At 46.5% G+C, this 24,716-nt stretch overlaps 1 protein-coding gene across 6 annotated transcripts in view, besides 1 other annotated feature; it reads right to left on the bottom strand.

Moving 5' to 3' along the window:
* The window catches only part of GSG1L (GSG1 like), a 276,187-nt gene that overhangs the window by 42,326 nt on the left and 209,145 nt on the right, over positions 1–24,716 (bottom strand). For all 6 annotated transcript variants that reach the window (NM_001323901.2, NM_001109763.2, NM_001323900.2 and 3 more), the window contains one exon: positions 15,097–15,208. In NM_001323901.2, coding sequence (NP_001310830.1) covers positions 15,097–15,208 — 112 coding nt within the window. The remainder of the gene's footprint in view (positions 1–15,096; positions 15,209–24,716) is intronic.
* Positions 22,321–22,822: an enhancer, noted in NCBI's record as "H3K4me1 hESC enhancer chr16:27863495-27863996 (GRCh37/hg19 assembly coordinates)". NCBI's record gives its function as "activates a minimal SCP1, AML or CMV promoter by ChIP-STARR-seq in primed H9 embryonic stem cells {active_cell/tissue: H9 hESC(primed)}" and the evidence as "EXISTENCE:reporter gene assay evidence [ECO:0000049][PMID:30033119]".

The following is a 24,716-nucleotide window of genomic DNA, read 5'->3' on the forward strand; positions in this document are numbered from 1 at the left end:
CATTAATATTAACATCCTCATTACCCACTTCCATATGACTTGGTTTGTAAACTCTCCCCCTGAGAGATGAGGTTATAATGAATGACCTGCTTGGCTTTCTCCTCCACAACTTTCTGTACAGCTGGGACTCTTGGCAGCCCTCACTTGATGTACATGCTGAGCCCAGCCCAAACCTGGAGAATTTGTCCTATCCACACTTGGAAAGGTAGGAAGGGTGGGGTAGAGCGAGGAGACTCAGCTGATCCAGTTCCAGCCTAGAAATGGCCTGCCTGTTTCCTCTGATCAAGACTATGCATTCAACGTTTAGTACCAGGAGTGGGGTACCTGCCTGGCCTCAGTTACCTCTGGCCTGGCTCCTGGATCCCTGTTCTTCAGTCTCTGCCTTGGTAACTGGTTTCCTCCAAATCAGGGACTCAGTTTTGCTGTTCCAACCCTGCATTTCCTGGGAGCTCCAGGCCTCCCCTGCTGCCAGCCCACCCAGCTGGTTTCTAAACATCATCACCACCCCTGCATTCCCCATGGTCAATGAAGCCCACTGCCTGCACCCACTGCTTTTCCCCTTGACAGCCCCTGAGCACCCCAGAAGGAAAGCAAGGAAAAAATCTGAGGACTCTGCCTTTCTCAAAGGGATCCTCAAAAGGACCATCTATTTCCCTTAACACAAAACCCATTGATAGAGTTCCCATTTCTTTCATGATAAGGAGCTGATGTAGATCTTCCAGAAGCCCTGACTGTCTGTAATAGACAGTTTTAGGATATCAGCCCGGCCCCTCTAAGAGCTTCCCTGTCCACCAAAGTGTCCAGCATGTGACTCACCACCCCCCACCATTCATAGATGACGGGACAAGGGCTGACCATCTGGTGAAAGCTGGTCCAATCAGATACTCTCTCCTGAGCAACAAAGCTGAAGATTCTACTTCAACCTGGGATGTCTCTTTATACTAGCATGATGGAAACTCAGAACCCGAGGATAGAGAATGAACAAGTAGGCTTTTTCTGGATTCCATGAGTAAGGAGTATGTTGGTTTTGCCTGCTCAGTAGCCATTCTTCCTTTTGGTAACCACACTCCAATTCTGTTAAGGGATCACTCCCTTCTTCTCAGGCCATTTGTTTTGTGTGGGGCTGGCCCCAACCCCAACATCCATGTGAGCACATGACCTCGGCTTGGCTAATGAAAATGCTGCTTTTCTCTGGCAACAGTAATTGGTTGGGGGGTGGGCACATGACCCAAGTCAGGTTCATGAGACTCAACTCCTGGACTTGGCTGAAGCTACTGGGAAACAAAGCTCATCTTTCTTCTGTGGTGCTAAGCTGGTGGGATTTGAGCCAGGAGTTGCTGGGGACCCTCTTGCCACCACCCAGCCTGAGAATGAAATTGACCCAAAAGAAAGCAGAGCCATGAAAAGGGGCTGGATCCCTGAGCTGAAGCCATTATCCCTGAACTTTTCAATCATGGAAGTCTCAGTTTCTTTTTATTTTTTTTCCTTGATTTTTTTCTACCCTGAAGCCAGTTTGAATTGAGTTTTGGTCATTGGGAACCAAAGTTATTATATGTTTACTTGCTATAAATTCTCCTTTTTTGCATGAGTTAGTTTTGACGTGAATTTCTAGTCTTTATAGCCAAGGATCTTAAGGGTGACCAAGTCTGGCTCAACCCTGATGGCCCAGTCAGGGGACAGAGCAGGGGATTCTCAAACTAAAGGCCTGAGCAAAGAAAAATACCTTGCATGAGTGGTGGAGTCCAGTAACTGAGTGTGTGGAGGGAACTTCCCTGGGGAGAGAGGGGGTTTGCTAGAGCCCAAGGGCCCCAGAAACAGATGCTATGCGGTGGAGCAGAGCCAGACAGGCAATGGCTGGACAGGCACAAAGTCAGACTGTGCTAGAAGAAAAGCCTACATCCCCGCCTTTCCATGTACTTTACATGCAAGATCTTTTTTCAAATAACATGTCACCCTGAGCTTGATTTCTCAGGCTCTCCACATCCCAGCCCTACGGTCTCTTTTCCACTCCTCAAAAAACTCAAAGCTCATTCCCAAACCTACCTCCCCCATTGCCTTCCCTCCCTGTGGAATCCCTGGACTCGCTGCTTTCCAAGCTTTACCCAGGCTTTTTGCCCAGCTGGTCCCTTCTCACCTGTGAATGTCACCCCTTCCTCAGTGGGCATTTTCTGTCTACCATCTCTAAGAAGCCCCCTCTCCATCATTCTGTATCACATGCCCCTGTTTAGTTTCATCTCAGCCCTTATCACACCCTGTGATTCTTTTTATCTTTTTTCCTTTCATTTATTTACTCTTGTTTTTCAATTAAATTTTTCCTTTTGAGATAATTACAGATTCACAAACAGCTGTAAGAAATGATATAGAGAGAGAACCCATGTGCCCTTTAGCCAGTTTCCCCCAATGGTAAACTCTTGCAAAACTAGTGTAATACAATATTACAATATCACAAGCAGGATATTGACATTGATACAGTCAAACTACAGACCAAGGATCTCTTCTGTGCCATTTATAGCTACAGCCACTTCCCTCCTGACCTCCCACAAATCCTGAAAGCCACCTGTTCTTCATTTCAATAATTTTACCTCTTCAAGTATTTTACATAAATAAAATCATACAGGAGTATGTATGGGATTGGCTTTTTTTCACCCAACATAATTATCTGGAGCATCATCCAAGTTGTTATGTGCATCAGTAGTTTGTTCCTTTATATTGCTAAGTACAGTATTCCTGCCAGCAATGTATGAGTTTCTTCACATCCTCACCAGAATTTGGTGGTGTCACTATTTTTTATTTTAGCTATTCTGATAAACGCGTAATAATATCTCATTGTGGCTTTAATTTGCACTTCCGTAACAGCTAATGAGGTTGAACAACTTTTCATTTGTTTATTTGCTATCTGTGTATCCTCTTTGACAAAATGTCTATTGGTGTTTTTTGCCCACTTTCTAATTGGATTGTTTTGTTGTTGTTTACTGTTGGGGTTTTAGAGGTCTTTGTATATCCTAGAGATTAGTTCTTTGTCAGAAATGTGGTTTACAAATATATTCTCTCAGTCTATAGCTTTCTCATCAATCTCTTAATAGGGTCTCTTGTGGAACAAATGTATTTAGTTTTGATGAATTACATTAATCCATTTTTCCTTTTATGTGTTTGATATCAAATATAAGAACTTTTTGCCTAGCCCTAGATTCCAAAGATTTTCTCTTACTTTTCTAAAAGTTTTACAGTTTTACATTTTATACTTAAATCTGTGATCCATTTTAAATTAATTTTTGCAAGTGGTGTGCAGTTTAAAGTAAGGCTGATTGTTTATTTTTGCCAGTGAATGTCCAATAGCTCCAGCACCATTTGTTGAAAAGGCCATTCCCTGCCTGCCCCACCCCTGCCACTACCACACACCCACACACAGTGAACTGATTTGTACCTTTGTCAAAAATTAGTTGGGCATATCTGTATTGGTCTATTTCTGAGTTCTCTATTTTTTTTTTCATTGATCTATGTGCCTATCCTTCCACTAATATCACACAGTCTGGAGTATTGTAGCTATACAATAAGTTTTCAAATTGAGTACTCTAATTCATCCTGCCTTATTCTTCTTTTTCAAAATTGTTTTAGAAATTCTAATTCCTTTGCCTTCCCATATAAATTTTAGAATACTTTTCTCTATATTTATAAGAAATTTGATGTCTTCTCTATATACTGAGTGTTCTGATCCATGAACATAGTATATCTACCCATTTATTTAGATCTTCCTTGATTTCTTTCATTGGTATTATTCTGTGGTTTACAGTTTTCAGCGTACAAGTCCTGTAAGTGTTTTGTTAGATTTATGTCTATTTCACTTTTTTAGTATAAATGATATATATTTTTAATTTTGTTGTCCGAATGTTCATTGCTAGTTTATAAAAATACAATTGATTTTGTATTTTTATCTTCTATCCTAAGACAACACTAAACTTATTTATTAGGTCTAGGCAATTTTTTTGGTAGATTCCTTGAATTTGTCTACACAGATAATCATAACATCCACAAATAGTTATATTTTATTTCTATTACAATCTGTATACTTTTTATTTTCTTTTCATGTCTTATGTATTGCATGTCTTTTATGTCTTATTTTTAGTTAGAACTTCCAGCACTATGTTGAATAATAATGGTGTTCTCAATCTTAGAAAGAAAACAGTCTTTCAACATTAAGTATAATGTTAGCTGTAGATGTTTTATAGATGGTCTTTATCAAGTTGAGGAAGTTCCCCTTTATTCTGAATTTTCTGAGAGTTTTTTAAAAAGTATGAATCAATGTTGAATTGTGTCAAATGCTTTTTCTGTATCAATTAATATGGTCATGTGATTTTTTTATTCTTTAGCCTGTTAATATGGTGAATGACACTGACTGATTTTTCAAATATTGAAGCAGCCATAATCCCTAGAATAAGCCCCACTTATCATGACGTATAATTATTTTTATATATTGCTGACTTCTATGTGCTATTGTTTTGCTAAGGATTTTTGCATCTATATTCATGGTGTCTATTAGTCTGCGGTTCTTTGCACTATCTTTGGTTTTAATAACGGTAATGTTAGCTTCATAAAGTGAATTGCAAAGTTTTCTCTCCTCTTCTATTTTCTGAAAAAAAAAAAGTGCTAATTCTTATTTAAATATTTGGTGGAATGTTCCAGTAAAACCATCTGGACCTGGAGATTTCTGTTTTGAAAGTTTTTATTTATAAACTAAATTTCCTTAGTAGTTATAGGGATATTCAAATTACTTATTTCGCATTTGGTAAATTGTGGCAGTTTGTGCTGTTAGAAAAACTGATCTATTTCATCCAGGCTGTCAAAGTTATGTGTGTAGAGTTGTTTGTAGTATGATCTTACTGTATTTTTGATGTCCTCAAAGTCTGCAGCAACATCCTCTGTTTCATTCCTGAATTGGCATTTTGTGTCTCTCCTCTGTCCGCTCTCTCTGTCACTCTTGCAAGAGGTTTGTCAATTTTATCTTGTCAAAGAACCAGCTTTTTTGTTTCATTGATTCTATTATTTTTTGTTTTCAATTGTATTGATTTTTGCTCATCTTTCTTCTGCTGGCTTTGGGCTTATTTTGCCCTTCTTTTTCTAGGTTCTTGGGATGAGAGCTGATTTGATTTGAAACATTTCTCAATTAGATCCTATTGGTTGATGATGTTGAGTTCTTTTATATCCTTGGTGATTTTCCATTTGGTTGTTCTATTAATTGTTGAGAAAGCCATATTGAAATCTCTAATTATAGTTATGAATTTTCCTATTTCTCCTTTCAGCTACATCAATTTTTCCTTTACAGATTTTCAGCTCTGATGTTTGGTGGATACATATTTAGGATTGCAATGTCTTCTTAGTGGATTGACTCTTTTATCACTATTTAATGTCTATTTCTGGTTATTTTATTTGCCTGAGTCTACTTTATCTAATATTAATATAGCTAATCCTGCTTTCTTTTGATTAATGCTTACATGATAGATGATTTTCATCCTTTTACTTCCAGCCTATCTATCTCCTCATACTTGAAGTGAGTTTCTTGTAGACAGCACATAGTTTTGGGTCATATGTTTTAAATCCACTCGGCCAATTTCTGACTTTTAATTGGTGTATTTAAACCATTTACATTTAAAGTGATTATTGATATGTTATGGCTTAGGCCTGCCACCTAATTTTGTTCTTTCCTGCTTGTTCCTCTGTTTTTTGTTTCTCTTTTCTTTTTTCTTGTGTTCCCTTGGATTTCTCAAACAGTTCTTAGAATTCCATTTTGATTTATCTATAGTTATTTTGAGGGTATCTCTGTATATAGCTTTTTTAGGGGTTGCTCTGGGTCTTACATTATATATACATAACTAATCACAGTCTACTGGTGTCAACATTTGAGTAAAGCATAGAAATCTTGGCTCCCTTTGTGACCCTTTACTTTCCTTCATTTATAATATAATTGTCTTAAATATTTCCACTGTATACATTTAGAATCACATCAGACTATATCATGATTTCTGCTTCAACCATCAAACATAATTTAGAAAACTCAAAAGGAGAAGTAAAGTTTCTCTGTCCATTTTTCATTCATTCTTTCTTATATTCAAAACCCCTTTTTAAAATTTCCATTTTGTTTAGAGAGCTCCCTTTAGCCTTTCTTTTAGGGTAGGTCTGCTGGCAACAAATGTTCTTAGTTTTTCTTCATCTGAGGATGTCGTGATTTCCCCTTCATTTCTAAAGTATATTTTTGCCACGTATAGAATTTTAAATTGATAGTTCTTTTCTTTCAGCATTTTCATTTTCTTTTTCTTTCAAAATGTTGTGCCACTTCCTTCTAGCCTCCATGGTTTCTGATGCAAAATCCACTGTTGCTTGAATTTTTTCCCCTGTAGTTAGGGAGGATGTTATTTTCTCACTGTTTTCATTTTTTTTTTTTTAACTTTAGTTTTTTTTCAAGTTTGACTGTGATGTGTCTTGGTATGGATTTCTTTGAATTTATACTATTTTAGAGATTCATTCAGCTTTTGATTCTGAAGGTTTATGTCTTTTACAGGATTTGGGAAGTTTTCAGCCATTATTTCTTTCAGTACTTGGTCCAGTCCCATCCTCTTCCTCCTTTTCTTCTGGGACTCCAGTGTTATATTTTTGGTTGTAGTTCTAGAGGTCCTTAAGGCTCTGTACATTTTTTTAAGTTTATTTTCTCTCTGTTGTTCAAATTAAATAATTTCTATTGTCCTATCTTCAAGTTCATTGATTCTTTCCTTTGTCCCTTCCATTCTGCTGTTGAGCCCAACCATTGAGCTTTCTATTTTGGTTATTGAATTTTTTAGTTTTAAAATTGCCATTTGGTCCTTCTTTCTATCTTCTACTTCTTTCCTGAGACTTTCTATTTTTCCAAGGGTGTTTGCAACTGCTTGTTGAAGCATTTTTATGATGATTTTTAACATTTCTGTCATTTCAGCATGGATCTATTGATTGTCTTTTTTTGTTCAAGTTGAGATCTTGCTGGTTCTTGGCATGGTATGTGATTTTAATTGCAACCTTGACATTTGGAGTATGTTTTGAGACTCTGGATCTTGTTTAAACTGTCTGCTCTAGTTGGCTTCCTTTCACATCATTCTGGCAAGGTGGCTTTGGCGAGGTGGAGGCTCTGCCCAGTTACTTCCAGGTAGGGGTAGAAGTCTAGGTTTCCCACTGGGCGAGTGTATTAGTCTGTGTAATTTATAAAGGGAAGAGGTTTAACTGACTCAGTTCAGCATGGCTTAGGAGGCCTCAGGAAACTTATAATCATGGCAGAAGGTGAAGAGGAAGCAGGCACTTTCTTCACAAGGCCACACGGGAAGGAGGAGTGCCGAGTAAAGGTGGAAGAGCCCCTTATAAAACCAGCACATCTCATGAGAACTCACTATCACAAGAACAGCATGGGGAAACCACCCCTATGATCAAATTACCTCCACCTGGTCTCTCCCTTGACACGTGGGGATTATGGGGATTACAATTCAAGGTGAGATTTGTACAAGCCTAACCATATCAGCCACCATTGACATTCAAGATGGAGATGGTTCCTGGTTCTTACCAGGTGAGGGTGGGGGTGGGAGTTCTGACTCCCCATTAGGCCTCTGCTGATACCTGGCTGGGAGGGGCCAGGGGGCCTCATCCCTGCTCCCCACACATCACTGACACCATGGGGAGGGAGATGTTCTTATTACTACAAGGCAGTGGCAAAAATCCTGACTCTCCACTAGTTCTCCTCTGACACAATCCCTGCAGGGAGAAAGGGGCACCTTGTTACTGCCCAGCAGAGATGAAAGTCCACCTGGTGATTGTCACCAAAATCTAACCACTCATTCCCTTCCTGGCATGGGTGTGGGTGAAGCCACAGATTTTTCTTTTCTGTAATGTGTGACTGGAGTAGTGAAGTTATTGCTAAATGTTTTCTGTCTCAGTGGGCTGACCCTTTCTTGGTCCTTTGGCTAGAGAAAGCGGACTTTAGTTGGGCCTTTTTTTTTTTTTCTGTCCTTTAGGCATTTCTGAATTGCTGACTTCTTCAGCTCCAAATCTGGGATATGTAACACAAAAAGAACTCAGCAATGTGTCGTTTCTTGGTACCTAACCAGCCTACTGTCTTCTTCCTGCCTTTCAGAGTCTTCTGATGTCTGTTTTATCTTTAGGTCCAAGGATTGTGGTTGTATTGAAGAAGCATGTCTACTCTGTCTTCTCAGAATTGGAATCCTTAGTGTTTGTTTTTTAAGATTATCTCCTCTTCTATCCCAGAATGCCAGCTTCATGAAAATGGGAGCCTCGTTCACTTCACTACTATCCCTTAGCACCTAGAATGGTGCCTGGCACATAATAGGTGCTCAGTAAATACTTGTGGAATGAATGGATAAACACAGATAAAATAAAAACAGAGAAAAGGACAGATATGAAAACACTGCTCTGGTTTTAGCATGGGTGAGAGGCTATATCCATGAGCCTTCATCTCCCTGTTCCTCTCACCCCCCAGGGCCCCAACGCACCCACAAAATACACAGTTTGAAAACTCTGGGGCCAGAACACCTGCTGGTTTTAGCAGCTTGTACTTCTGAACTGGCACACGGAGCTGCGTGGGTGATTGGCCTGGTTTCCGGAGCCAAGAGCAGATTGGACACCATAGGGAGAAAAGGGGAGGGTGGTGACAGGGGTTGTCAATTCTTCATCCCCTGGGAGCAGCAGGGGCAGAGGGACACAGGGGGAGCAGATTTAGAGGCACATAGACACCACCTTGCAACCTACTCCAGGCCCTGCCCAGTGGGGAGGTTGTAATGGATCACTAAGGAAGGCTGCCTTGGCTGCCTGCAGACCAGAGGGGTACAGATTCACCATGTGGGGCACGGCTGGGCACAGATGCATAATCCAGGCCACCCTCAGGGCCCAAGAGCTGATGGGACTAGGAGCTGGATAGTGGCAGGCTCTGAGGGCCCAGCTGGTCCCTCCATGGCCCACAGGGCACCCTTGGGCAGCCACATCCCTTTCCCCAACCCTGGTCTTAGAATAAAGGAGGCCGCAGCCACCTGCCTCAGGCTGATGAGTAAGGGCAGACTTCCTGCTGATCACACAGCCTCTCAGCAGAGACATCAGCACACACACCCTCTCCAGTTGTCTTTGGGGCCCAGGCTCTGGTAGGGTCACAGCAGCAGACTCAACCCCTTAAGGGATTGGCCTGCTGGAATACCAGCTAACCCCTCCAGAGAGCAAAGGGGCCGCCTGGGGTCCCCAGAGAGGAAAGAGGCTGGTCTGCTGTTTCCACATAGTCATGGAGACTAGAAAGGGAGGGACAGCAGTGAGGCCTATATTCCACAGGGACAGGGCCCCAGAAACAGAAAGGGGCCACTAGGACAGGAGTGAGAACCTTCCCTAGATCTGGCCCAACTTGCTACTCTCTTGCTGTGTGACATGGGCCAAACTGCATAACTTCTCTGGGCCCTCCAGCTCTTATAAGCTTCCACACCACGATGTCCCACTACCCTCAGTCTGCAGAGTGAATGCTTGAGATAAGATTTCACTGTGTGTGCAGGAGTAAGAGGAGAACTTTTTCCATTTCTCTCCAGACTGATAAAAGGCAAAACAGAAGCAGAAAGCGCAAGGCTAGCTTTCCACACTCCTGCTGTCACCAGGAAAGCTGACATTCCAAGCAGGGGCCACAGACTCAAATTCCTGCAAGGTCAGGCAGATGATGACTAAGTGTGGAAGCGTGGGTAAATGTAAGGCAATAGGGTGTGGTGGGGACTGGGGTGAGCTGGAGACCAGATGCCTATCTAAAGTTTCAGTCATTCTCAGCCTTATCTCCAGGCTGCCTGGTGGCAATGCTGGTTGTGCAGGAACAGATCTTCCAATGATCATGAATCAGAAACCTGGACTTTTATGTAGAAGTTTTACCATTTTAGATGTTAGAAATAAATCCAAACTTTTATAAGACACAATGGCAGGCCTAAGAAATCATCCGCAGGCTGGGTTCAGCCCCGGCTGCATGCAGTTCACAGTATCCAAGGCTAATTGTGTGGCTTTCAACCTGTTTCCTGGTCCCTGAAGGGGGATGGCAGCCCCTCTCCTGGGGATCAGTGACAGGACCAGGCAACTCGGGGCTTGTAAAGTGCCTCCCACTGTGCACAGCACAAAGTAGGTGTAGTAACCTTAATCTTTTTTTTTTTTTTTTTTTTTGAGACAGAACCTCCAGCCCAGACTGGAGTGCAGTGGCACGAACACAGTTCACTGCAGCCTCAACCTCCTGGGCTTGAGTGTCCCTCTCACTTTACCCTCCTGAGTGGCTGGGACTACAGGTGTGCACCACCACAGCCAGCTAATTATTTTTATTTTTTATTGTTTTAGAGATTGGGTCTGGCTATGTTGCCCAGGCTGGTCTTGAATTCCTGGCCTCTGGCGATTCTCCCACCTTGGCCTCCCAAGGTGCTGGGATTACAGGTGAGTCACTTTGCCCAGCCCCTCTCCCATCTTGGCCTCTCAAGGTGCTGGGATTACAGGTGAGCCACTTTGCTCGGCCCCAACCTTAATCTGATTCACTTGGTCCCTGCCACGTTAAGCCAAGCAGCTGCTTGGGCGCCCATCAGGGTCCTGACCTGACGTTGTCACAGGTAGGGAGAGCTGAGACATGGCGCCAAAAGGAGGAGTGGGCAGGAGGGCTCGCACTCACCGAGCAAACTCTGTGCTGAGTGCTCCACATGCATTGATTCACTAGCTCCTCGTGTTGGTTACTGTCTCCAAAGCTGGCCTCCAGGGAGCCACACCTCCCGCGGTTCATGCCTCCCCTTGAAGCTGGCCCTGTCACTTGCTCTTAACCAATAGAATGCAGCAGGAGTGACACTGTGTGATTTCTGAGGTTGGCTCATGCAGATACTGTGGTTTCCACCTGGGTCTCCTGGAACACTCACTCTTGAGATAGTCTCCCCAAGGACCCAGCCTCCAGGCTGTGTGAAGCCCCTCCGGCCGCCAGCCACCGCCAGCCGGCACCAGCTGCCAGTGTCATGAGGTGCCACCTTGGAGGTCCACCCCAGCCACGCCCCAGATGACCTCAGCTTCAGGTGACATCCAACTGAAGCTTCGAGGAAGAACCCAGCAAGCACCACCCAGATGAGCCCGGTCCACCACCAAACGTAAGAACAAATAACAACACATTTTTACTAGTTACTATTATTACTACATAATAACATATTTTTTACTAGATTTGGGGGTGATGTGTACACCTCAACAGAGAAATGGAATACAATTCAAGAGACCCCCATGAGGCGGAAATTCGGGCTGTCCCATTTTCCAGCTGAGGACACAGAGGTGCAGAGGAGGTAAGTGACTTGGCCAAGGTCCCCGGCTGGTGAGGGGCAGGGGCAGGATCTGAACCTGAACTGTCTGACTCCAGGAGCCACACCCTTGACCGCCCCTCCACGCTGCCACAGTGGCCCAGCAGTGTATGTCGGGGTGAGATTTGAACCCCAGGCTGTCAGACTCTTAACCATGGAGACCTTCTACTTCTTGCAAAGGTGTCCCTCTAAGAAACCGGCACTCAACCGGCTTTGAGCGCCTCAAAACCCCTCCAGCTTCCAGAGACCCTGCAGCTTGTTCTTCCCTGCTGGGCAGGAAGACAGAGGTGGGTGCCATCTCTTCTCAGAGCTGTTCTCCTCTCCAGTACCGGGGGAGGGAGCAGGGGAGGCTCTCGGGCCAGGATTTTGACAAATGGCCTCACACATATTAAACAAGAGAGATGACATGGTGCAGCCCTGGCGAGGCCCCAAATGTGAGGGATGAAAAACGGGGCTGATCCATCTTGCAGGTCTCAGTGACAGGGAGAAATGGATCAGCACTAATAGGGGCTGCACATTGGGCCCCGGCCTTTAATAAGTCCAGTGGGAATTCGGTGCCCCTTGGGAGGCCAGCCCCGAAGGAGGGAGCAGAGGAGCAGGGCAGAAATCCCTGGCTTCCAGGGAAAGAATGTTCCCCTGGCTGACACCAGCAGGCTTGACTTGAGACACTGAGCACCAGAGGAGAGAGCCAGGGCCTTCTGGAAAGGGGGACTCATGGGGAGGAACCAGTTCCTACCAGGGCAAGTGATTCAAACTTTCTGATTCTCAGCATCTGCATATGCAACACGAGGTTACTGCATGTGTTAAACTTCTTATCAGTAGCATGATATTGCTCATGTTAAATTTCATATCAGTAGCACGATGTCGCGCGTGCCGAATTTCACATCAGTAGCACGATGTCGCGCGTGCCGAATTTCACATCAGTAGCACGATGTCGCGCGTGCCGAATTTCACACCAGTAGCACGATGTCGCGCGTGCCGAATTTCACATCAGTAGCACGTTGTTGCGCGTGTTAAATTTCATATCAGTAGCAACAATATAAGAGCTGGTGTTTACTGAGAACACACCATGTGTGGAACATCACAGAAAGCACATCAATGAACTCTCATTATTACCCATCTTCTCAGAGAGGCTTCCAGTATGGCTCTAGAGCCAGACTGCCTGGGTTTGAATCCCAGCTCTACCCCTCGCAGCTGGAAGACCTCAGGGCAGGTTACTTAAGTTCTCTGTGCCTCCATGAAATACCTACCTGATTCATGGCACATCAGCGCTCAGTAAATCTAAGATATTATTACACACATGGTCAACACAAATATTAGTTCCCTTCCTCTGTGCCCTTCTCTAGCTCAGGGAGAAGATCTTCCAAGTTCAAGGTCTCAGGAAGGAACAGCTGCAGGGGGAAGGGTTGGGTAAAGGGAGGTCAGAACCTCAGCTGGCTTCCCTGGGATTGTTCTACTTAAAGGGATCGGGGCCAGGGTTAATGGGTCAAGGTCCCTTTAAGGCAAATGCTTTTGGTTTTAAAAGGATGGAATTGAGCAGAGAGTGGAGATGGAGCTGGGGTGCCCACTGAACTGGTATGGGGTCTTTTTTAAAATTATAATCATAGTCCCTCCTGCTCCATTCTGAGATGCTCTCTCACCTCCAGGTCCTTGGACCTGCTGTTCCCTCTGCCTAGCACCTGATTCCCTCCTGTTTTGCCTTCAAAATTCTTCCTGGGGACCCGCCCCACCCAAAGCTGTGTCAGTCAATGCCCTTCCTCTGTGCTCCTGCAGCTGCCTGTGAACTCTCCTCCCCACACACATCTACATCACAGCACAGTTCAGATACAGCTGGTTCACTTGTCTCAATCCCTGTTGCAACGCTGTCTCAGCACTGCTGCATCCCGAGCACCTAGAAGAACAGCTGTCCTAGAGGAAGTACTCAGTTAATATGTGTTAAATGACTGAATGGGTAAATGCTCCCCAACTACCAGCCCCAGACCTGGATACCCTGTGTAGTGGACAATTGTGGTCTCTGTCTTTCCAGCCTGAAGAGACTTCCCCTACTTCTCTTTCTGTCCAAGGGTTTGGGTGAGGCTAATGCCACGCTCTGGACCATGTGGCTCAGGTCATTCCAGTCTCCCCCAGGGTCTAAATCATTGGTTCAGGTTTGGTCACATACTTAAGCTAAGCCAATGAAAGTCATAACCAGGATTTTAGCTGGAAATATGGGAAAGAAACCCTATCTCTCTGCTGGTATTGCTACAATTTTAAGATGGAAGTCTGGCACTCCAGCCTGGGTGACAGAGCAGAGACTCTGTAAAAAAAAAAAAAAAAAAAAAAAAAGGAAGGCTGGTCTGTGCATTGTGATAATCTTTGCTAGCATTTGGGGAAAAGCTGTTTGAGAATGAAGCCAACACCAATTCAAAGGGAAGAGAGACAAGATAAGGAGAGGGCATGAGGGCATGACTGGGTTCCAGATGAAATCTGGTCACCTGGATCCAGCTGTGTCTGAAGCAGACTTTGTGGTAGCTCACTCAGCATCTATTCCATCCACTCACCATTTGAGAGGTTTTGACTCATTCTTTGCTCCAGAGGTGGGCTTGGTCAAACTAAGGGAATAAGCTCATGATATTCCCCCAGCTGTGGCAATGAATAAGGAGAGAGAATATGACCTAAGCCCACCAGAGGGAAGCTTGGGACTCTAGTCAATCTTGGAGAACAAGAGGCCCTTTCTCTCCTACAAGGGAAGGAGAATGCACCAGCCTTAGGAAGAGCTCTCCCCAACAGGGAAGCCAGCCCAGCAACAAAGTAAACATGTGGAGGGTGCCAAGCTCAGATGACTATACAGAGGAAGAGAACTCAGCCCTTATGACCTCAGTGACTCTGGAACAAACGTGTCCTGAAGTCCACACCATAGCTGTGCTTTTCCTTTCCATGAACCAATGTATGATATCTCCTTACTTAGACTGATGCAGGTAGGTTTTTCTGTTACAACCCAGAGCACCCTAGCTGATCCACCTGGACTTTCCAGTTACACAAACAAATGAACACCCCTTGTTCACTTACGCTTGGGATTCTATCACTCAAAAGCAAAAGAACCCTGACTAATCATGCCTTTCATATGCAAACCCTGCTTTGAGGTGCTGACCTGTTTCCTGTATTCAGAGCCCCTCACTGGAGTCCACCTACCCCATCAGACCACCCAGAACCCTCCACAGCTCGCCTAACTTCAGGTCTTGCCAGCTTCCATCTCCAACCTTCCATAGCACGCCTCTTAGGCAGGGGTCGGCAGGGGGTCAGAGAGTATTTTTGACTTTGTGAGCCATTCAGTCTCTGTCACCACCGCCCAGTGCTGCCATCTCAGTGTTAAAGCAGCCGTGGATAATATAAAACAATGAGAGTAGCTGTGTTCCAAGAAAACCTTATTTATGGACATTGAAATTTGAATTTCATGTAATTTTCACATGTCACAAAACAGCATTCCTCTTCCTTTGATTTATTTTCTTAGCAGTTAAAAATCCAAAAGCCATCCTTAGCTTGAGGGCTGCATATAAACAGGTGGTGGGCCAGATTTGACCCACAGGCCCTAGTTTGCCAATCCCTGCCCTGGGGTCTTAAAGCGCCTTTGGACTACAGCCCCTCCAACTCTCCCCATTTCTCCTCCCCCCCACCGCCCCCCACCCCACTGGGCTGAGCTGCTGAAGTCCCAGCGTGCCTTGGGCCCTGGTGCCTGAAGCTGCTCTTGTCCTGAAGGTCCACTTACCAGAAGGACCACCCGTAGTCCCAGGAATGGGGTCTCCAGTCCTCAGGACCGAGGCTCACGGTGACCTGGAACACCTGCGTGTACATCATGTGGGCGACCATTCCCAGGAGGCCTGTGGGGCAGAGAGCAGAGCAAAGCGTCAGGAAGTAAGGAAGGGCTTTGTCCCCACACACCCACAGCCTCTCTGCTGCCTGCCTGCCTGTCTGCCTGTGATCACTGTGGAGAACAGGGACCTCTGGGTAAGGGAGGTCAGCAGGAACAGAGCTTGGGAGGCCAGAGAGGGTAGTTCTCTTTTCTTTCTTTCTTTTTGTTTTTAAGACAGGGTCTTGCTCTGTTGCCAGGCTGAAGTGCAGTGGCACGATCATAGCTCCTGGGCTTAAGTGATCCTTCCATCTCAGCCTCCTAAGTAGCTGGGACTACAGGTGTATGCCACTATGACAGGCCAATTTTTTGTATTTTCATTTTTGTAGAAATGAGCGTCTTGCTATGTTGCTCAGGCTGGTCTCAAACTCCTGGGATCAAACAATCCTCCCACATCAGCCTCCCCAAGTGCTAGGATTAGAGGCTAAATTGTTTATGTTTAAAGCATTTTCCCCCATCTAGTAAGAAGACCCAGCTGTAGAGTGGGCTTTGGCTGGGGTCAGGGGACCATTATTTTCTCAGTGTTTTGTAGACTTTCCACTCTTTTAAGACAGAGCAGAGAAAACTGCCTGGCTGCTAATGGGAGAATGGGGACCCCAAAAGCCTATTATATTTCTCTTAGTACTAGTGAGCTTGAGCATTTTTCACATTTATTAACCACTTCTAGTTCTGCTTCTTTGAATGTCTGTATCATTTGCCAATTTTCTTTTTGTTTTTAAAAATCTTTTTCCTTATCAATTGGTAGGAATTCTTTGTGTATTCTGAATATTAATCTTGTCTGTTGCATAGATTACACCTTTTTAAAACAATTAATAAACTTTTTTTTTTTTGAGAAAGAGTCTCGCTCTGTCACCCACGCTGGAGTGCAGTGGCTCCATCTGGGCTCACTGCAAGCTCCACCTCCCAGGCTCAGTTGATCCTCCCACCTCAGCCTCCTAAGTAGCTGGGACTACAAGCACGCACCACCACACCTGGCTAATTTTTGTATTTCCCCTACTGATTTTAAAGGACACTTTTATACCATATTCCAAGTCCCATAATTACATGGGTGCACTTCCTAACTGTTCATTCTGTCCCACCGATCTTTCTCTGTGTTCCTGCATCAGTGCCACACTGTTTTAATCACTGTAACTTTACAGTACAATCTGTTTTCTGAAGGGACAAGTCTCTCCTCTTTATTACTGCCCAATGCTGAGTCTCTCTGGAATTGTTACCCTGCCCAGAAGCTGTTCCTGCTCAGAAGGGTGTTGACCCCTTTCTTAGTCTTCTGCCAGTTCCTTTTCTGAGGGCTGGAATATTCATGAGAAGGACAACTCCTTATGCCAGGATAGTAGGAGCACAACAGTATTTTAATACAAAATCTCCCACCCAGAAGGTGGACTTAGCCTGTTGGCAAAATAATTAATTTTCTGAACTATTAGTTTAGAAAAGCATTGATTCCTAAATTAAATTCTATTTATCCCCAAATACGAGAGACCATGCTTTAAGGAAATTCAATAAGTAAAAATTACAGTTCACTCAAAGATACCTTGGTGGAACTCTCTGATTGCATTTTAAAGATTCTGCTTCAAAATCTGACCCTGGCCGGGCACGGTGGCTCATGCCTGTAATCCCAGCATTTTGGGAGGCCGAGGCATGCGGATCACGAGGTCAGGAGATTGAGACCCTCCTGGCTAATACGGTGAAACCCTGTCTCTACTAAAAAAATACAAAAAAATTACCCGGGCGTGGTGGTGGGCACCTGTAGTCCCAGCTACTCAGGAGGCTGAGGCAGGAAAATGGTGTGAACCTGGGAGGCAGAGCTTGCAGTGAACCGAGATCGTGCCACTGCACCCCAGCCTGGGTGACAGAGGGAGACTCCGTCTCAAAAAAAAAAAAAAAAAAATCTGAACCTTGCCTATGTTTTCAAAAGCTTGTTCATTCTGTAAAGCAAGGTCCACCCACAGCATCTGTCCTACAAATCCTTGTCAGAAGGAATCATTTCCAACTCATCTGAATTAAAAAGAGACTTTTTGGTGAGTTACTGCACCTCCTGAATTAGAGGAGACTAAATGAATGAGGCTTTCCTGCTGCCGTGATTACTTCCTGGCTTGGACTCACACCAGGAAACCCACAGCTGTAAATCTCTCCTTGTGGTTTCTGGAATCTCCCAACTCCTGAAACTATAAATGGAATTCCCAACCGGTGTGGTCAGGTGGGTATGGTTCCTCCAGGCCCCAAGGAAATCTTGGAGAACACTGGAAATGGGGGGATGTTGGCCAGGGAGCCAGAGCTGGGCTGGGTGTGGTGCTCCCCAGAACTTAGAGCAGGAAGAGCTGTCATGACTCCTAGCCCTGCCCTGTGCTAGTCCAAACTGAGGAAGCTGAATTCTGTTAAGTCCAGGAGTGTTGAGTCCAGGGGGGCTAAGAATTAAGAGACAATGTCAAGTGCATCACAAGGTGAGCCCAGAGGAAAGCAGAGCCAGGAAAGTGAAAGAGAGAGCCGAGCTTCCAGCTCTGTCACTGATATGGTGTGGATCTGTGTCCCCACCCAAATCTCTCACCGAATTGTAATCCCCAGTGTTGGAGAAGGGGCCTGGTGGGACGTGACTGGATCATGGGGGGAGATTTCCCTCTTGCTGTTCTCGTGATAGCGAGTGAGTTCTCACGAGAGAGCTGGTTGTTTAAAAGTGTGTAGCACCTCCCGCTTCACTCTCTTCCTCCTTCTCCAGCCATGTAAGACATGCCTGCTTCCCCTTCGCCCTCTGCTGTGATTGTAAGTTTCCTGAGGCCTCCCAAGCCATGCTTCCTCTACAGCCTGCAGAACCATGAGCCAATTAAACCTCCTTTCTTTACAAGTTACCCAGTCTCAGGTAGTTCTTTATAGCAATGTGAGAACTGACTAATACAGTCACTTACCAGCTTTGTAACATTGGGTAGGTTGACTTTCTGTGCCTCAGTTTCCTCACCTGTCATATGGGGATAATAATAGTACCTACCTCATAGACTGGTATGAGGATTCAGTGGCTTATATTTATAAAGCACTTAGAACAGCACTAGGCACAAAATAAGCTCCACAGAAGTTTCTTGAATGAATGAATGAATGAAGAGTGCACATCTGAGACTCACTATGTAGGCCCACTAGACTGTATGCTAGTCCAGAGACCAGATCTGTTTGGCTCTCCCCTGAATCCCCAGCGCCAAGCCCAGTACCTGACACACAGTAGGCATTCAATAAGTGTTTACTGAATGAATAAATGAGCAGTGATTGAGAGGTGCTTGGGGATGTTGGGCTGGTTAGTATAAAGGTCAAGAGTGTGGGATATGGCAATGAGCTAGGACAGGACCAGACTGCAAAACTTTGTCTAGGAGAGCACGTGTCAGGGTCACCATTCATTCATTTATCATGTATTCATTCAATCAGCCAACGAATATTTAGCAAAGGCTTTTCACATGCCAGACACTATTCCAGGGGGTTGGGGAGTGGTAGACTGGAATAGATGGGCGGATGTCCTGCTCTTAACGGGCATGGGTTCTAGTGGAGGCAGCCAGACAATTAGCATATAAACTAACATGAAATTTCAGGCAGTAAACATTTCCATGAAAAAACTAAAATAGGGCCAAGTGGTGAAGAGTCCTTGGAGGTGGGGGGCACTTCAGCCTGGGTGGTTAGGGAGAGCATCTCAGAGGAAGTGACATTTAAGCAGAGGTTTGGAATGAGGAGCTGAGGGCAGCCATGCAGAAGACTGGGGAAGAGCATTCCAGACATAGAGAGAAGCCTGGGCAAAGGCTGGGGCTGAAGGCTGGGAGGAAATGCTGTAGCAGAGTGAGCAAGGGGTAGGATGGGCCTGGTGCGGTGGCTCACGCCTGTAATCCCAGCACTTTGGGAGGCCGAGGCAGGTGGATCACCTGAGGTCAGGGGTTCGAAACCAGCCTGACCAACATGGCAAAACCCTATCTCTACTAAAAATACAAGAATTAGCCAGGTGTGGTGGCACATGCCTCCGCTACTCGGGAGGCTGAAGCAGGAGAATCGCTTAAACCTAGGAGGCAGAAGCTGCAGAAGCTGCAGTGAGGCAAGATCATACCACTGCACTCCAGCCTGGGTGACAGAGTGAGCCTCTATCCCAAAAAGAAAAAAAAAAAAAAAAAAAAGAGAAAAGAAAGGGGAGGGATGTGTCAGATGGAGTCAGAAAGGCAGGCAGGAGCAGGGCCATGCAGGGCCCTGGAGCCCACAGTGCAGTTTGGCTCTCACCCTATGCAGGACGAGAAGTCAGTAAAAGGCTATCCGCCTTAAGCAGGGGTCTAACTGATTCTTCTAAGAAAATCATTCTGATTACTGTGTGGAGACAGTGATTGTAAGGGGAGGAGGTAAGCCCGGCTGACAGGCTGTTGCAAGGGCCCAGGGTAAGCTGTTTTTGTTTAGGCTGGTGTTGCTGGCAGCTCTGAGGTATGTTTAGTTTGTTTGTTTACTTTTGTTTTGTTTTGAGACAGAGTCTCACTCTGTCATCCAAGCAGTAGTGCAGTGGTGCAATCATAGCTCACTGTTAACCTCAAACTCCTCCAGCCTCAGCCTCCTGAGTAACTGGGACTAAAGGTGCATGCCACCACACTTGGCTATTGTATTTATTTATTTATTTATTTATTTTAGAGATGGAGTCTCCCTGTGTTGTCCAGGCTGGTCCCAAACTCCTGGCCTCAAGTGATCCTCCAGCCCAAAGCACTGGGATTACAGGCGTGAGCCACTGTGCCCAGCCTGGGGCAAGTTTTGAGGGTGGAGTCAATAGGACTCGCTGTTGGGCTGCACACAGGTGGTATCCCTGGGATCTAGGATGACATCAAGAGTTTGGGTTTCAGCGTCTGGGCAGATGCCATTTGCCAAGATGAAGAAGATGAAGGGAGGAAGAAGTTTGGGTGGGTAGAATCCTATTTGTGCCATATTCATTTGAAATGCCTTTTTTTTTTTTTTTTTTTTTTGAGATGGGAATCTCACTCTGTCACCCAGGCTGGAGTGCAGTGGCATGATCTTGGGTCGCCACAACCTCTGCCTCCCGGGTTCAAGTGATTCTCCTGCCTCAGCCTCCTGAGTAGCTGGGATTACAGGTGCCACCACTACACCCGGCTAATTTTTGTATTTTTAGTAGAGACAGGGGTTTCACCATGTTAGTCAGGCTGGTCTTGAACTCCTGATCTCAGGTGATCTGCCCACCTTGGTCCCAAAGTGCTGGGAATACAGGCGTGAGCCACCGTGCCGGCCTTGAAATGCCTATTTTATATCTAAGCTGGGATAGCAAGCAAACAGTTGAAGGGCCAGTTCTGCGATTCAAGGAGTAGTCAGAACCGGAGACTTAAATGCGTGAATCATCTGCATGCGAATGATAAATAACACAATGTGCCTAGAAGAGGTCACCTGGAGAGAGACTGTAGGAAGAGGAGAGAGAAGGGTCCCAGGATGAAGCCAACATCTGATATTAAGCAGAGCAGGAGGGACCAGCAAAGAAAGCTGAGGCAGAGTGGCCAGGGAGGCTGAGGGAAAACCAGCGTGGAGTCTTCAACTGCAAGAGGTTTAGAAGAGGAGGAGGGTAAATGATAGAGAAAGCTTTCAAAGCATAATGCTGCCTGGGGAAGTGGGAAAATGGGGGTGATAGCTGGAGAGGGCCTGGGGCTCAGGAAGGCATTTTATTTATTTAAAAATATATACATGTAATACATCTATCTATCTATCATCTACCTTTTTTTTTTATTTTTTTTTTGTACAGACAGCGTCCCTCCATGTTGCCCAGACTGGTCTCAAACTCCTGTCCTCAAGCAACCCTCCAGACTCAGCCTCCCAAAGCTCTGGAATTACAGGCATGAGCCACCGGGAGATAGAGAATGTTAAACGCCGGGAAGGCGTTTTAACAATGGGAGATAGAGAATGTTTCCATGCCCATGCAGAATGATCACGTGGAGAGGGAGAGATGGACAGAGCAGGGGAGCGAGAGGGCGATTGTGGAAGCAAGGTCCAGAGACGGCCAGAAGGTGCGAGGAGGTTCTAGAAAACAAGAGGGCTGGCTTTTGATGGGAATTGGGATGCGTTACCCAAGAGAGCAGGAAGACAGCGTCTGAGCGAGACCCAAGTTTTGTCTGTTTGTTTTTTGTTTTTTAAGACAGGGTCTCGCTCTGTTGCCCGGGCTGGAGTGTAGGAGCACCATCATAGCTCACTGCAGCCTCAATGTGCTGGGCTCAAATGATCCTCCTGCCTCAGCCTCCAGAGTAGCTGGGACTATAGGCAAGTGCTGCCATGCCTGGCTGACATTTTTATTTTTGTAGAAACAGGGTCTCATTATGTTGTCCAGGCTGGTCTTGAACTCCTGGCCTCAAGAGATCCTCCTGCCACAGTCTCCCAAAGTGCCGGGATCCAAGCAGGAGCCCCTGTGCCCTGCTGGATCTGAGTTCTTAAGCAGATTCACCCCCCTTCTCTCCAGCAAGCTGGAGACAAGGTCACCAGCTGAGAGTGGGGAAGTGGGGGTTGAGGAGCGGCAAGCAGAGGGTATGAAATAGTCTTTTCTGAGAGTGGGAAAGCACAAACACGCTGCAGAAATGCATGCGGCTCTCAGGGCAGTGTTGCTTGTTGTGTGAGATCCGTGCTCATGAATTTAAAGTGAGCCCAGGCAGGGCAGCTGTGGGATTCAGGTAGGGAGAGACAAGTTGGCCTGGTGACACCTGTCAGGGCCTCTTGAGTCCAGAGGACACACAGGAATGCCAACCCGAGATGCCACGAATCATCTTTTGCTCAATCACTGGGGAGAGGGGTGGCAGGTTCCTGCGCCTCCCTCGAGGTGGGGGTGGACCAGAGCCCACATGACCCCTCCCAAGGGGTCTCCAGCCTGGAGCTACCCCTGGGTGAGGACATAGAGCAGCGGTGACAACCCCAAATCCAGGATCTCCCCTGCCTCTGGCCTGGCTCCCTTTGACAGGGTTTGGATGCTTTATGCGAATGCCACGCTCCATTTAATTGAGATACCAGGGAGGTAGCTGATTAATTGATTTATAATAGAGTTTATTACTAAAGATGCTAAGTTATTACTGAGAACACGCAGTGAGCACTCATGTTTAAATAAATATTCTCGTAGATGCTGGGCATGCGTGTCATGTCCGGGACTTGAGACACAGAGGGGCTGGTGGGGACCTGGAGGATGCTGGAGCCAGAAAGATGGGGCAGGAGGGCTGCAAAGGGAAACCCCTGACCTTCAGCTGGTCACTGAGCAAATATCAGGCACCTGCTGTGCTTCAGGCTTTTCCACAGTGGTCAAGCGGCCTGTCCTCCCAGTGCTTCCATTGGGATGGGAGAGGCAGACACACAGGCTGGGCACCTCTCGGTGTCAGGGCAGTCAAGAGGAGAAGTCCCGGGGTCTGTGGGGTGGGGAGGTCAGAAGAGGCTCCCACAGAAGATGATATAGCAGCTGAGAGTGGAAGGGTCAGAGGGAGGAGGAGGAGGGTGGAGCAGGCAGGGGAACCCACACCAGCAGAAACCCACAGGCAAAGTGGTTTGGTGTGGCTGTCACAGGCACTTAGGTGGGGCACGTGAGAGGTGAGAGATGCTGCTGCAGGGATAAACGAGGACATTCCATGGGAAATTTTAAGCCATCCGAGGCAGTTTGGACTTTATCCTGAGGACCCGGGGCAGGAATTGCAACTTTCGGAGCAAAGTGGTTGGGTGGGGATGGTGAGCATGGCTGTGGCCTGAGAACAGGCGAGAGGAGCAGGAGGCAGGGAGCCTGGGAGGAGCAGCTGCAGTCCTCCCCGCAGGTGAGGATGAGGATGGGCGGGACTTGCCAGGGCGCTGAGATGCTGGAGGCATGGAGCCCCGGGGCACCGGGTACCGCTGAGACCGCTTACTTCCCAGCAAACCATCAGGCACTGAAGAACCCTGGCTCAGGAATGGCAAGGGACTGGGGGAAACTAGGAGCAACCAGGAGAAGCTGTTGGGACTGACCCAATTAATATCAGCCCCAGAACAGCCTCCCGCGGAAAAAAAACTTGAGAAACTAAAAGCTGCTGTTTCATGAGACCAATCGGCTGGGGGCAGAGGAAAAAATAAATCTCTTATCTGAACGTATCTAAAATATCCTGATGTTGGTCACGACGGAGACCAAAGCCTGGCTTTTCCCTGTGCCCTCTGCCCTGGGGGAACCCCACGTGGCCAGGTACACCTGCACATAAGGCCACCCCTGAGAAGCTGAGCTGATGCTATGTTTAAAACTTGCCCAGACCTATTTTTAAAGAACAAGCTATTTTTAGACACCCTCTTGAGAACCCGAAGCCTCTCTTGGTAGCATATTTCAGGGTTTAAAAAGTTCCTCCTTACACATAACCTAAATCTTTCCCGCTCCAATTTAAGCTAATTTCTTGCTCTGCCCTCTGAGGACACGGGGAGGGGGGTGAGCCGATTGGCATCTTCTTGAGAGGAGCATTTTGGGGGGTCAGCAATTACTGAGGTGCCCCCCAACCTTGTCTTGTCTGCAGAGATCATTCCAATTTCTCTGCCCTTTCTCCAAAGGTCCCCTTTTAGATTACCAGAGTCATTAGCGTCACTCTGGTTGGAATTCTGCCTTTTAAAGTGAAGTGGTCCAAATCGGAGGTGGCACTTCATGGAGACCTTCCAATTTCAAGTAATGGGTTTACTGAACTTCCACCAGCCTTGTTCAGCTCAGCTGCCCCCATCCAGCCCTGTGGCAGTGACTAGGCTCTGATCCCCCAGGTGGGGTTCAGAGTGATCCCAGAGGCCATGGCCGCAGGACCTAGTGGGTCCAGGGTAACCCAGGACAAACTGCTGGTGGGACGATATCTGACATTAATGGACATGTAGCCAGGCTGCCAGCATTCCCTGTTCCCCTTGTCATTTGGGTAACTAGATAGAAAACACCCATGACCTCAGGGCACAGCTGTCCCAGAAGACTGAGAGAACAGGAGCCCAATTTGGCTTTGGAGATTTCAAAAGCCTACATCCAGGTGTTCCAAGAAAAAGGTTGAGAAGAATACGCTATCAAGAGAGAGACAGTTTCTCTTCCCCTTCCACCTGGAGATCAGCTAAAGTTGCTCGCCTGGAGGGGACTGGGACGCAGGGGAGGAAGAGGAGGAGGGGAAGGGGAGAGGAAGGGGGAGGATGGGAAAGGCTGGGGAATGGGGAGGGTGAATAGAAGGCAAAAGGGGAGGAGGAGGGGGAGGAGAAGGGGGAGAGAAGGAGGAGGAGGGAGAGGAAAAGGAGAAGGAAAAGGGGGAGGAGGAGGGGGACGGAAGGAGGAGGAGGGGGAAGAATAGGAGGAGAGGGGGATGGTTGGCCCCAAGAAGGAATGAGCTGCACTATGCAGATATGAGCAGGGCTTCCCTAAAAGGCCGCCGGCCTCCACTTCAAGCCCTTTCCATTACATCCCCTGGGAGCCACAGGGAGGTGAAGTTGGCACTCACAAATGGTCCTTTCCCAGTCTGAGTGAACAGTGGACACCTTGCGAGTTGGGC

This window comes from Homo sapiens, chromosome 16 (assembly GCF_000001405.40).
Source record: "Homo sapiens chromosome 16, GRCh38.p14 Primary Assembly".
In the NCBI taxonomy this organism is placed as follows: Eukaryota; Metazoa; Chordata; class Mammalia; order Primates; family Hominidae; genus Homo; species Homo sapiens.